Here is a 14197-nt window from a genome sequence, read left to right on the forward strand (position 1 = left end):
ATGAAGTGTAAGAGAAAACCCAATTGAACAGTTTGGTTCACCCATGCCTTCATAACTTCAAAACCCAATAATCATCAATACATAATGATGACAAGATAACCAGTTCTTGAATATTAAGAAACTAGAATTGTTGCTTTAGCATGTTTAAGACTATGCACCTCCCCCCTCTTCCCTCTCTGACACACACACACAAAATAACAGCATCAACAGCATCAGCAACATCATGAAATACCTACAACAAAAAATTTCAACCCTGGCAGCACTTGAGAATGACCTAAGAAATTTATTTTAAAATATCCATTATGTGGGTTCTTTCATCAGAGATTCTGATTCAATTGGTCTGGGCTCGAACTCAGGAATCAATATTTTTTTAACAGCTTCCCAAGGAATTCTAATGCACTCACACAGGGCTTAGAACCAGTGAAGAGGAACATAATGTTCTCAAGCACCTGTTTATCCATAGCATTCTATTCTTGCACAGCTGGTGTTAATGTATTTAACTCATTAACCACTGACCCTAAATATTAGCTAATCATTAAGCCCCAGTTGGTACTCGCCTGTGTGGAGGTTACCACATAGTCTGGGAGGATGACTTAAAATATTTTATTTTGGTGTTGGACTGTGTCATCTATAATTCTGGCTTCAGAGAACAGAGTAAAATATGATTGAGATTTAATTGGTGGTTTTTCTGAATTGATCTAGGAGTGATCTGCTAAATGCTTTATGTACTTATACCCTTCCACTGTGCAAGACCATATAGGGGAACAAAGTAACAACTAAAATTCCTTCTCACACAATGGGTTTCCACATTTCCTTCAAAAGCTCTACAAATTGGGAAGGGGGATTTGAAAAGTTCACAAGTACTGCTTAAATTTTACTAAGCAGTAAATTTTACTAAGTAAAAATACACACATCTGTGAGAATAAAAGTAGATTTTCAAATTTCCACTATAACCTTTCAAGCTTTTGGCACCCAATTTTATATATTTATAGCGATAATCCTCTATATATAAAGAAAGATCACGGCCGGGTGCAGTGGCTCACACCTGTAATCCCAGCACTTTGGGAGGTCGAGGCGGGCGGATCACCTGAGGTCAGGAGTTCAAGACCAGACTGACCAACATGGTGAAACCTCATCTCTACTAAAAATACAAAAAAATTAGCCGGTCGTCGTGGTGGTGCCTGTAATCCCACCTACTCGGTAGGCTGAGGCAGGAGAATCGCTTGAATCCAGGAGGCGGAGGTTGCAGTGAGCCAAGATCGCGCCATTGCACTCCAGCCTGGGCGAGAAAGCAAGACTCCGTCTCAAAAAAAAAAAAGAAAGAAAGAAAGAAAGAAAGATTCCATTCTTGCGGGGGAAATATTCCAAGACCCGCGGTGGATGCCTGAAACTGCAGAGTACCAAACCCTATATATACTATGTTTTTTCCTATATATACATACTTATGACAAAAGTGTGGTCCATGAACCAATCAAGCTCCATCCTACATCTACAGAATCAGAATCTGCACTGTAATAAGAGAATAAAACCAAAATACTATCTTTCCTTACATTAGTCTTTATAACATCAGAAAATACATAGTAAATGTATAGTAATAAAAGTTACATATACAATCCTAAAAATAACACTAACGAATATTTCTAGGATAAGTATATAAAGCATTTAGCAAATCACTCCTAGACCAATTCAGAAAAACCACCAATTAAATCTCAATTATATTTTACTCTATTCTCTGAAGCCAAAATTATAGATGACACAGTCCAACACCAAAATAAAATATTTTAAATCATCCTCCCAGACTATGTGGTAACCTCCACACAGGCCATTAGTTAAGAATAGTAACAATTATAAAGATGTTCCAAGGATTTTAAGAAATACCTCCCTAATTATTTCACTCAAGTTCTTCATTTCATCAGAAAAAAAAAAAAAAAAAAACCAGGACCTAAGACCTGAATTTTCCCAAACCTTTTAGATGCATGTGATGGTCATTTATCTGAGCCTCCCAGAATGACTGGGAAATGAACATCCTACAAGTCTTGCCACAAACCAAGTGTTTAACAGAAAATTAGGCACAAGTATTAGCTACACTGAAACCTTGTTGCTGTGTTTCCCCTTGGGAATGATGGCTAAGGTAGAACCATACCGCACATATTTAAACAATAATTTACATAAAATTACAAATACTGTAAAATACAACCACTACTCTTATGATGAAGGAATCTGCACTTGTTTATATCAATACAATCTTTCATCTTGAGGGTCATTCAACAATATGACTGGTAATACATAGGTATGGGCCTAACACCCTCCCCCAGTCTGTGAGATCTGACAAATCCTACAGTATTTTTTAAATCAAATGCTAAAAATATTAATTATACTTTTCTACTACTCCTATCTTAATTTTTAATGGGTATAAATTCCAAGGCTGAGATTATTTTTCATTGTTTTAAGGTTAATCAACTAACCTTATTTAAAGTGTACACTGTATATAGTAAGCTAAACATGGACTAAACGCTGATGTCTCCAATTCTAATCCTTTACCACATGGATCACTCTAGCCTCCTTCTCCTTGCTTGTAACTTTCCATTCCAACAGTGAGAAATCTGGCTACCACAATCCACCATCCACTTATACTTAACTGTTTAGTATACATTACTAGAGGTATCAGAATTGCAGTATCAGAATTGTTAACTATACCTTTATATGAAGCAATATTATCAACCAATGTACACTACAAGTAAAGAATATGTGCAGTGCCTTTTGCCTTTAGTATTACAGGCACTATGCATCTCCAAAATTAATTAGATCAACAGTTTTCCCCCATCACCCACTTCAATGAGGTTGTTTTATACATCTCTAATACAATTAGATTCTTCTGTCTCAATCTGCATTCCATCCTGGAATCCCCCAGCCTCCTAAAAGATGGTCTTTTAAAATTCGTATTCATTAAGGTCCACGCTTTCTGCTATAAAGTGCTATGGGTTTTGACATCTGTGTAGTATGCTTTTTTCCTGTTTCTCATCTTCTACATATATAACATCTTACAAACAATTTTACCACCATTCTTCAAACAAACATACATACTTCCACAGTCATCTTCAATTCTACTAAACAGTACAGTCTACATGCTTGCAGGCTTATCTCCATGCACATACCACCTTTTTTTTTTTCCCACAATCTCTAGGAGACTCATTTCAGAAAACTTCACTTTCAAGATTACTAACAGTTGTCTGCTCATGATTAGGCTTCAAAAGAAAAATGTTAAATTTATTTATATAGAAAACAGATTTCATATCCTTATTTTACAACCGAGTTCTCTAACACTTATGTGTCTATCAAAAATAAATTAATGAAAGCTTGAAAACAGTTATGAATTCATTATACTGCTTTCACATCCACTTCAAACTTCCTATATATAAACTGATATAACATGGGTTCACTTACCCAGCTCAGTCTCACTATAAGGATTTTTAAACAAAATCAGTCCAGTCCACTGAACAGTATCAGCTTACTGCAGGTACATTGTCTTTCATAATAAATAACAGTATCAGTAATGCAATACCAACACACAGGGAACTAGACTAAGACCAAGGATATAAATAAGGTAAGAACATACCTATTCCCTGGATGCCTGCCTGAATCCAAATTAAAACCTTCTGAATGGCCAGGGGCGGTGGCTCACACCTGTAATCCCAGCACTTTAGGAGGCCCAGGCAGGCGGATCACCTGAGGTCGGGAGTTCTAGACCAGCCTGACCAACATGGTTAAACCCCATCTCTACTAAAAATACAAAAATTAGCCGGTTGTGGTGGCAGGCACCTGTAATCCCAGCTACTTGGGAGGCTGAGGCAGGCGAATCGCTTGAACCCAGTGGGTGGAGGATGGGAGGATGCAGTGAGCCAAAATCACGCCACTGCACTCCAGCCTGGGCGACAAAGCGAGACTCCACCTGGCCGGGGTGGACGCAGTGGGGAAGAAGCTTGGAAATCGTTACTCTATCCTAATAGTGAGTAAAAAGCTAAACAACAACAACAACAAAGATCAACAACTCTTCTTAGATCCACCAGAGAAGTAAGGTCACAGGGCAAACCACTGCCCCCACAATTGGATAGACAGACAAGGTGATAACAAAGGATCATAATTTATCAAAGCAGAAATCCACAGACAAAAACCTCTCTACAGGAGCCAGCACCCGAGTAGGAAAACCTAAATTGCGATTGATGACTTGCTGGAGGCTTAGTATAGACAAATCTGAAAGTTAAAAACTCTAGGGACACTTTTTTTGGTTTTACCTCCAGGAGCTCTACCAGGTTCTCACAGTAAAGATCCAAGCCAGTGTGGTGGCTCACTCCTGTAATCCCAGCACTTTGAGAGGCCGAGGCAGGTGGATCACTTGAGGTCAGGAGTTTGAGACCAGCTGGACCAACATAGTAAAACCCCATCGCTACTAAAAATACAAAAATTAGCTGGGCATGGTGGAGGACACCTGTAATCCCAGCTACTCAGGAGGCAGAAGCAGGAGAATCGCTTGAACCCGGGAGGCAGAGGTTGCACTGAGCCGAGATCACACCATTGCACTCTAACCTAGGCGACAGAGAAAGACTGTGTCTCAAAAAAAAAAAAAAAGAGAGAGACCTGAGAAAAATACCCACTGCTGCCTGTGCAAGGAGAGTTCTTGTAAAGCTATAGTACTGGTAAGGTCTGCCCTCAAGAAAATCCATCTTACTACAGCCTAACCAACCTGGGGGAAGGAAAATATCCAGCTCCACCTCCCTCTCCCCGTCTACACAGAAGAAGAGAAATACTTAACTCCAGCCTCCTCTAACCATTCTGTCCCACCTAAGGGGATGAAAAGAACTGAGAAGCACTTGTGAAGCTCACAGCCCAGGGCAATGGCTGACTAAACAACTGAAATATAGTCATTGAACTATAGACTATTTTTTCTCTCCCCACAGCTTACCATCACATTACAAAAGGCCTATATATCACAATTCCTTTTATCTGATATATCATATCCAGCTTTCAACAAAAAATTACAAGGCATACTAAAAGACAAAAAAGCAGTTTGAAGAGACAGAGCAAGTACCATAACCAGATTGAAATATGGCAAGAATATTGCAATAAACAGACAAGAATTTAAAGCAACTATGATTCATATGCTAAGGATGCTAACGGGAAAAAACAGACAACATGGAAGAATAGACTGATAATGTAAGCAAGGGGAAAAATCAAAGAGAAATGCTGGAGACCAAAAACACTATAACATAAATGAAGAATGCCTTTGATGGGTTTATTAGTATACTGTTCATGGTTGAGGAATCTGAGCTTGGGAATATGTCAATAGAAACTTCCAAAGCTGAAAAGCAGATTTTTTAAAAAGACTGAAAAAAAGGGAACAGAATATCTAAGAACTGCGTTCAGTTCAGCAGCACATATACTAACACTGGAACAATTCACAGATCAGCATGGCCCCTGCACAAGGATGACATGCAAATTCGTGAAGCGTTAGTATTTTTATAATATATATTTTTAAAAACAATAAGAACTGTGGGACAATTATTATACAAAAGGTACAACATACACATAATGAGAATACAGAAAGAGAAAATATTTGAAGCCGTAATGACAGAATTCCACACAAACTAATGTCAGACAGCAAACCACAGATCCAGTCAGCTCAGAGAACAAGCGGGAAAAGGCAAAACAAAACCAACCACCACCTAACACCTTGGCATATCATATTCAAACTGCAGAAAATGAAAAAAATAAATAAATCTTAAGCAAGAAAAAACACCTTACTTGTAGAAGAGCAGGATTACATCCAACTTATCCTCATAAACCATACAAGCAAATAGAGAATAGAGCGAAATATTTTAAAATTCAAGAGAAAGGAAAAACAAAGAAAAAACTGCTAGCCTGGAATTCTCTACCCTGCAAAATTATCCTTAAAAAGTGAAGGAGAACTAAAGACTTTCTCAAGACCAACAAAAATTGAGGGATTTGTTACCAGTAGACCTGCGTTTTAAGAAATGTTAAAAGTAGTTCTTCAGAAGGAAGAAAAATAATATAGGTCAAAAATAGATCTACAAAAAGAAAGTAACGGCATTAGAGAAGGAATAAGTGAAGGTAAAATAAAAACTTTCTTTTCCTTTTTTTTTTTTTTTGACACAGAGTTTTACTCTTGTTGCCCAGGCTGGGGTGCAACAGCGCAATCTCGCCTCACTGCAACCTCCACCTCCCAGGTTCAAGCGATTTTCCTGCCTCAGTCTCCCGAGTAGCTGGGATTACAGGCACGCACCACCATGCCAGGCTAATTTTTTGTATTTTTGGTAGAGACGGGGTTTCACCATGTTGGCCAGGCTGGTCTCGAACTCCTGACCTCAGGTGAGCCACCCGCCTTGGCCTCCCAAAGTGCTGAGATTACAGACTTAAGTCACCACACCTGGCCTTTTCTTATTCTTAATTGAGCTAACAGGTAACAGTTTGTTCAAAATAGTAACAGCACAGTGTAGTCAATGATTTTAGCTTATATATAAGTGAAATGAATGATGGCAACAATACAGGGGATGGAAGGGAGAAATTAGGAGTATTTTGTTTCAGCCAATTCTGTTGTAAGTCCAAAACTGTTCTAAAAAATGGTCTTTTATTTAAAAAACAAACAAAAGGCAAGAGGGGAGCCCTTTCTGCTTCAGTTTGCTGTTCTGTAAAGCTTGGCACTCATTTTTAGTGGTCAGTGGTCAATAAGACTGGTACCAAATCCTCATTTGGCACATTTCCCCGAGAGTAGCTAAATTATGTATCCAAGGTAAGGATTAAGAAAGAGAGCCTGGCCAGGTGCAGTGGCTCACACCTGTAATCCCAGCCATTTGGGAGGCCAAGGCAGGGGGATCACCTGAGGTCGGGAGCTCAGGACCAGCCTGGCCAACATGGTGAAACCCCCGTTTCTACTAAAAATACAAAAATTAGCTGATGCACGCCTGTAGTCCCAGCTACTGGGGAGGCTGGAGGCATGATAATCGCTTGAACCCGGGAGGCGGAGGTTGCGGTGAGCCCAGATCACACCACTGCACAACAGCCTAGGTGACACAGCGAGGCTCCATCTCAAAAAAAAAAGAAAGAGAACCTAACAGGAAGAGATAAATGCTATGCCTAAAAGGTAACAAGTAGATGTCTTCAGTTTATGCAGTGACCCAGCAGCAGAATGAGTCTTTAGTCTCAGGATCTGCTTTATGAGACTGTGCCCTTCTCTAGTGCAGGGGTCCTCAAGCCCCAGGCTGTGGACCAGTAGCAGTCAGTGGCCTGCTAGGAACTGGCCGCACAGCAGGTGAGCAGCAGGCAAGCGAGCATTACTGCCTGAGCTCTGCCTCCTGTCACATCAGTGGCAGCATTAGTCTCAGGAGTGCGAACCTTATTGTGAACAGCGCATGCAACAGATCTAGGTTGCACACCTCCATTTGTGCATCTAATGCCTGATCTGAGGTGGCACAGTTTCATCCAGAAACCATCCCACCCACCCCGCTACTGCCCAGTGCCTGTGGAAAAACTGTCTTCCACAGAACCAGTCCCTGGTGCCAAAAAGTTTAGGGACCACTGCTCTAGGGAAAGCAGAAAATGGCAATAGGCCCCAGCGAGCTAGGAAAGAGGCATTCATTGCATTCAAGGATGCAGCACTGAAGCTAACCCAAGAGGAGTGGTAGCTACTGAGGCCTGCTCAGAGGACATGGTACAGGGATGTGATGCAGGAAAAGTCCTGAGGGAAAAAAACATTCTCAAGATCTGCTAGGATATGACACAAACATTTTCTATTATGAGGAAAATGAAGAATATCGGCCCGGCACAACGGTTCACACCTGTAATCCCAGCACTTTGGGAGGCCAAGGCAGGTGGATCACCTGAGGTTGGGAGTTCGAGACCAGCCTGACCAACATGGAGAATCCCCATCTCTACTAAAAACACAAAATTAGCCTGGCATGGTGGCACATGCCTGTAATCCCAGCTACTTGGGAGGCTGAGGCAGGAGAATCGCTTGAACCCGCAAGGCGGAGGTTGCTGTGAGCCGAGATCATGCCATTGCACTCCAGCCTGGGCAAAAGAAGTGAAACTCCATTTCAAAAAAAAAAAAAAAAAGAAGAAGAAGAAGAATATCTCACACTGAGACTTGAAAATCTCTCCCTTAACTCAGCCATTTAAAAATTAAACTGTGACATAAACTCCTTGACTACTTCATTTTATTTTAGACTCTTTCAAAAAATAAATAATAATTGGTGTGCAAATATTAAGGAGCAGGTTTGGTTGTTTTGTTTTTGTATTTAATCTACCTTAGAATCTACCTTAGAAACCTGTAGACACATAAAAGCACTTAACAATGAAGTTGCTTAATTCAACTAGTTGTGTAATATATTCTGCAAGGGCTTTTATCAGCAACATATTTTAAAGCCAATTTTAGTATGCTTTGGGAAACAGAAAGTGTGTGATAAATATCTCCCTTGGCTTCTCAAAAGCTAGGCTACAGGCTTATATAGAAGAAATCTCACTTCAGCAGTAATCTTTACTAACTCTGGTTATGTAATCTATTTGGCCTCTAATTTATTTTGGCCTCAATTAGCTTTATTTTGGCTTTGAATTAAGAGAGAATGAACATATGTACTTGATAATGATTAAATAAATATATGTGGTCACAGCTCCACTTTGCAATAGTATACACATCTGCTATTCATCCAAAAATCATGAAAACCAGGACCAGGCTGTTATATGCTGTTCATTAGCGTCCACACAAATGTAATTTTATTGCTGTGTCTGGTCTCATATTCATTTGTAATGCTTTCTGGAAAATAATTTTTAAATGGAGTGAAAGGTAGAAGATGAGCTTCATTTTAACTGGGAGGGAAGTAAAGCAAGTAAACATATATTAAGTTTTCAAGATGTCACAATTTCTTATGCCAGGAAAATAAAAATATCTCAAACTGATAATAAGACTAGACACACAAGCCATTTTATACAAATTTACTTTATACATTTTTATTACAATCCAAAGCATTTAATTTATTTGATTAGGTAAGGATAAAACAACAAATCTTCCAAAATATTCACAAGCCCTAATTTGGTAAGTATACTCAATCTGAATTCGGCTTCCCATAATGAAAATGTTCAGTTTCAATAAATCTAGACTAAAGGGATGAAATTTCACCCTTTACAAGATGTAATTACATACACAGGTGACTAATTAAGACATTGAGACTTGAGCTATAAAAACTAAGTGACCCAGATCTATACTAGATCATAAATCATGTCATGATCCTTGAAGTTACTTATATAATCCTATCCATAATTAAAATAAGTCATTAATATACATATTAGCAAGTATGAATAATCCTCAACTATCATGCACATGGTACATGAAAGAATAGACAATATTTTAAAACATGTAAGTCAGAGTTTCTATTCTGGTAATATGGTAAAAAGACAACCAGAAAATACTTCTTTTACAAAACATCTAGAACTACTGGTGAATCTTTTTATTTGATTTGTACATATACACAAAATAAAATATACAAACACCCCTTTAAATGTAGAACTTATCAAGAAAGTAGGAGAAATCTCCTGAGACCAAAAATGAACAGGAAAGTAAAAAGCAGTACATGGCCAGGCGCAGTGGCTCACGCCTGTAATCCCAGCACTTTGGGAAGCCAAGGTGGGCAGATCACAAGGTCAGGAGTTCGCGACCAGCCTGGCCAATATGGTAAAACCCCGTCTCTACTAAAAATACAAAAATTAGCCGGGTGTGATGGCAGGCGCCTGTAATCCCAGCTACTTGGGAGGCTGAGGCAGGAGAATGGCTTGAACCTGGGTGGCGGAGGTTGCAGCAAGCCGAGATCGTGACACTACACTCTAGCCTGGATGACAGAGCAAGACTCCATCTCAAAAAAAAAAAAAAAAAAAAAAAAAAAAGCAGTACATGTTTGACCTGATGCTATGACGACCCTGGATTTTCTGATTTCAGAAACTGAGAAACTTCTGTTCCAATGACAAGCCAGAGAAGATCTTGGCACACAAGACACAGTGTTAGAAGTAAGATTCCTGCACAAAGCATGGACTCTCAAAGAACAATGAAGTAGAAAGATCTGCCCACTGGCAGAGGGACACAGGAAGCCTTTTTTGTCTTGCCCTAGGCTCTGAAAAGGTAGGAAAGATCACCAAAGATTTCATAATCATAAGACTGCCCCTACATAGGTTTAGAGTTTGATTTATTCTATCCACATAGTACAGAAACTCCCAACTTCAAAAATTAAATATAAAAAATGACTTCTGCTTGAATAAGGCAATGATAACATTTGATAACTCATTTACCAAAACTCAAACTAAGCCGGGCACAGTGGCTCATGCCTGTAGTCCCAGAAGTTTTTAGATCAGCCCAGGAAACGGTTTTTTTTTTGTTTTGTTTTTGTTTAAACAACAACAAAAAAAACTCATGCTGAGCAGCGCAGTGGCTCATGCCTGTAAGCCCAACACTTTGGGAGGCTGAGATGGGCAGATCACTTGAGCCCAGGAATTCAAGTCCATCCTGAGCAACATGGTGAAACCCCATCTCTACAAAAGATATGAAAATTAGCCGGATGTGGTGGCACACACCTACAGTCCTAGCTACTTAGGAGGCTAAGATGGGAGGATTGCTTGAGCTTGGGAGGCAAAGGTTGCAGTGAGCTGAGACTGCGCCACTGACGAAGCGAGACCCTGCCTCAAAAAAAAAAACAAAAACAAAAACAAAAACAAAACTCAAACTTCACACTTGAGATCTGTGCAATTTACTGTATATAAATTATACTTTAAATAGTTAAGTGGTCGGCTGGGCACGGTGGCTCACGACTGTAATCCCAGCACTTTAGGAGACCAAGGTGGGCAGATCACGAGGTCAGGAGATCAAGACCATCCTGGCTAACATGGTGAAACCCTGTCTCTACTAAAAAATACAAAAAATTAGCCGGGCATGGTGGCGGGTGCCTGTAGTCCCAGGTTATTGGGAGGCTGAGGCAGAAGAGTGTCGAGAACCCAGGAGGCAGAGCCTGCAGTGAGCCGAGATCGTACCACTGCACTCCAGCCTGGGCGACAGAGTGAGACGCTGTCTCAAAAAAAAAAAAAAAAATTTAAGTGGTCACTGGAAACACTTCCAGTGAACTTGGCAAAAGCAACCCAAAATCTCTCTGGAGGAATATGCCCCCAAGTCATTCAGAATTCTCAAGGACAGCCTCTCTGAAGATCTGTTCACAGTCCAAAACTATATAAAACACTCGAGGAAACATTTAACCTTAAGCAAGAATCCAGCAGGTGCAAAAAAAAAAAAAAACAGAAGTAGATTTTTAAGAACTTCAGAAAACTGAACAACTTGATAGAGATTATAAATATTTAAATGATGAAAACACATAAAAGATGGAATAAAATATATGACACAAGAAAAGACATCATCAAACAATAACATATCTCTAATAAGAAAATACAAGAAGCAATCCTCAGTGCATGCTAAAATAATCAATAGATGAGTGGTTAATAAGGAACTAGGTATTTGGCAAAATACAAAAGGATCATCCCACAAATAACTTAAGGACACAAGAGGAAAGGGCTCAACTTACAAATAAAGATAGTAACTTTCAGGCACTAGAGTCAAAAACCAAATATTATAACAAAAGATGCACCTAACATCCCAACTGCTCAGAAAATCTGACCATCTGAACCTACTGAATAATCTTAGCAACACTACAATATAGGACAACTTCTGATGTGACAAATACAAAGTACTCAGTACTACCTATGAGGCATTCATGTCAAAATGTTAAATCTGTCTCTAATCAAGTCTTCAAATCTTTCTTTCCAAGTAACACAGGGGGATAAAAATAAGTCAAATACCACAATAATTTGTTAGAAAAAAAAATTGTCTGGGCGCGGTGGCTCATGCTTGTAATCCCAGCACTTTGGGAAGCCAAGGTGGGTGGATCACAAGGTCAGGAGATCGAGACCATCCTGGCTAATGCGCTGAAACCCCGCCTCTACTAAAAATACAAAAAAATTAGCCGGGCATGGTGGTGGGTGCTTATAGTCCCAGCTACTCAAGAGGCTGAGACAGGAGAATGGCGTGAACCCGGGAGGCGGAGGTTGCAGTGAGCCAAGATCATGCCACTGCACTCCAGCCTGGGCAACAGAGTCAGACTCCATCTCAAAAAAATAAATGAATGAATGAATGAAAATAAAAAATCTGGGATATTCTATAGGACAGCTGACCCAGTCTTTTCAATTAAGTCAACAAGGTGAGAGATAAAAAGGGAAAGGGGGAGGACCAACTGAACTGCTCTAGAAAAACCACATACAACTTGTAAACCAAATGTTTGGACTCTGATTTCAAACAACCAACTATAAAGCAACATTTCTGAGACACAGATATCTGAGTATGAACAGACTAATTTATAACATTAAAGAATTGTTCATCGCAAGTTGTGTGAAAGACAGTGGCATTATGATTCTAGAAAAAATATTTTTTAGAGATGGAAAATAAAGTATTTACAAGTGAGATATCGATGTGTGAATCTGCTTTAAAATATCTCAGCTAATTAAAAAAAAAACCAGCCTAAAAGCCTACACATAGAGAGTAGTTGAATAAACTATGGTACACTCACACAATGGTATACTATGCACTGGCAAAAAACAATGAGGAAGATCTCTATGAAATGATATGGAATGACATTCAAAATGTTAAGTTTTGGCCGGGCACGGTGGCTCATGCCTGTAATTCCGGCACTTTGGGAGGCCGAGGCAGGCGGATCACAAGGTCAGGAGTTTGAGACCAGCCTGACCAACATGGAGAAACTCCGTCTCTACTAAAAATACAAAATTAGCCAGACGTGGTGGTGAATGCATGTAGTCCCAGCTACTCGGGAGGCTGAGGAAGGAGAATTGCTTTAACCCAGGAGGCGGAGGTTGCCGTGAGCCAAGATCGCACCATTACACTTTAGCGTGGGCAACAAGAGCGAAACTCCATCTCAAAAAAAAAAAAATTAGCAAGGCATGATGGCACATGCCTGTAGTCCCAGCTACTTGAGAGGCTGAGGCCAAAGAATCACTTGGACCCGGAAGGCGGAGGTTGCAGTGAGCCCAGATCGTGCCACTACACTCCAGCCTGGGCGACAGAGTGAGACTCCGTCTCAAAAAAAAAAAGTTAAGTTTAAAAAGAACATGCAAAAGAGCATCTACTGTATGTTACTCTTTCATGTAAGAAAAGAAGATTATAAGAATATACACATTCACGGCTGGGCACAGTGGCTCATGCCTGTAATTCCAGCACTCTGAGAGGCTGAGGTGGGTGAATCACGAGGTCAGGAGTTTGAGACCAGCCTGACCAACATGGTGAAACCCCGCCTCTACTAAAAATACAAAAATTAGCCGGGTGTGGTGGCGCACATCTGTTAATCCAGCTACTCAGGAGGCTGAGGCAGGAGAATCGCTTGAACCCAGGATGCAGAGGTTGCAATGAGCCAAGATGGTGCCACTGCACTCTGGGCGACAGAGAGAGACTACGTCTCAAAAAAAAAAAGAATATACACATTCACATTCTGAGAACGGAGATATAATAAAAGAAAAAAAAAGAATATACACACGTATCAACTCATTTGTACATAAACAAATTCACAAGAAAAAAGCAGAAATTATTAAGACTAAGATACCTATAGAGAAGGGTGGGGAAAGACTGGAAAAAAGGGGGTAGGAGATGGGACTAGGATAGAAGGGATGGGGAAGAAGAACACTTTCCTGAGTATAAATTTTTGTATTATTTTTTACTGTTAGGAACATGTCAATTGTTTCACATAACACCAAAGTAAATTCGTTTCTCACAATGGTGGTATAGGCTAATGATTTTAAAACTCCCTTAATGTGTACACTAAGATGGGCAAATAAGAAAATCTATCATGATAATGAGAGCCAGGTTTCTCACTATCACAGAATAGAAGTAAATATCCCAAGTAAGAAAAGGGAGAAGACTACAATGATAATTTTGTGGTAGTAGACTGGAATTGGCGATAACATGAATTTGTTTTTACGTATAGCAAAGACACAGAACTAGGGGTATGTGTGTCTACATACATCATATATTTCCTAACTCTGTCCACTGAGAGGTACTAAACTAAATACAATAAAAGAAAATACAGCCGGGAGC

The 14197-nt window shown here is 39.7% G+C and overlaps 1 protein-coding gene and 1 pseudogene across 15 annotated transcripts in view, besides 1 other annotated feature; one reads left to right on the plus strand and one right to left on the minus strand.

The window, feature by feature from the left end:
- Nucleotides 1-14197, minus strand: part of LRP6 (LDL receptor related protein 6) — a 151020-nt gene that overhangs the window by 105236 nt on the left and 31587 nt on the right. The window lies entirely within an intron of this gene.
- RNU6-545P (RNA, U6 small nuclear 545, pseudogene) lies at nucleotides 5414-5517 on the plus strand (annotated as a pseudogene).
- Nucleotides 7151-7651: an enhancer, noted in NCBI's record as "H3K4me1 hESC enhancer chr12:12381345-12381845 (GRCh37/hg19 assembly coordinates)". NCBI's record gives its function as "activates a minimal SCP1, AML or CMV promoter by ChIP-STARR-seq in naive H9 embryonic stem cells {active_cell/tissue: H9 hESC(naive)}" and the evidence as "EXISTENCE:reporter gene assay evidence [ECO:0000049][PMID:30033119]".

This window comes from Homo sapiens, chromosome 12, assembly GCF_000001405.40.
Source record: "Homo sapiens chromosome 12, GRCh38.p14 Primary Assembly".
In the NCBI taxonomy this organism is placed as follows: domain Eukaryota; kingdom Metazoa; phylum Chordata; class Mammalia; order Primates; family Hominidae; genus Homo; species Homo sapiens.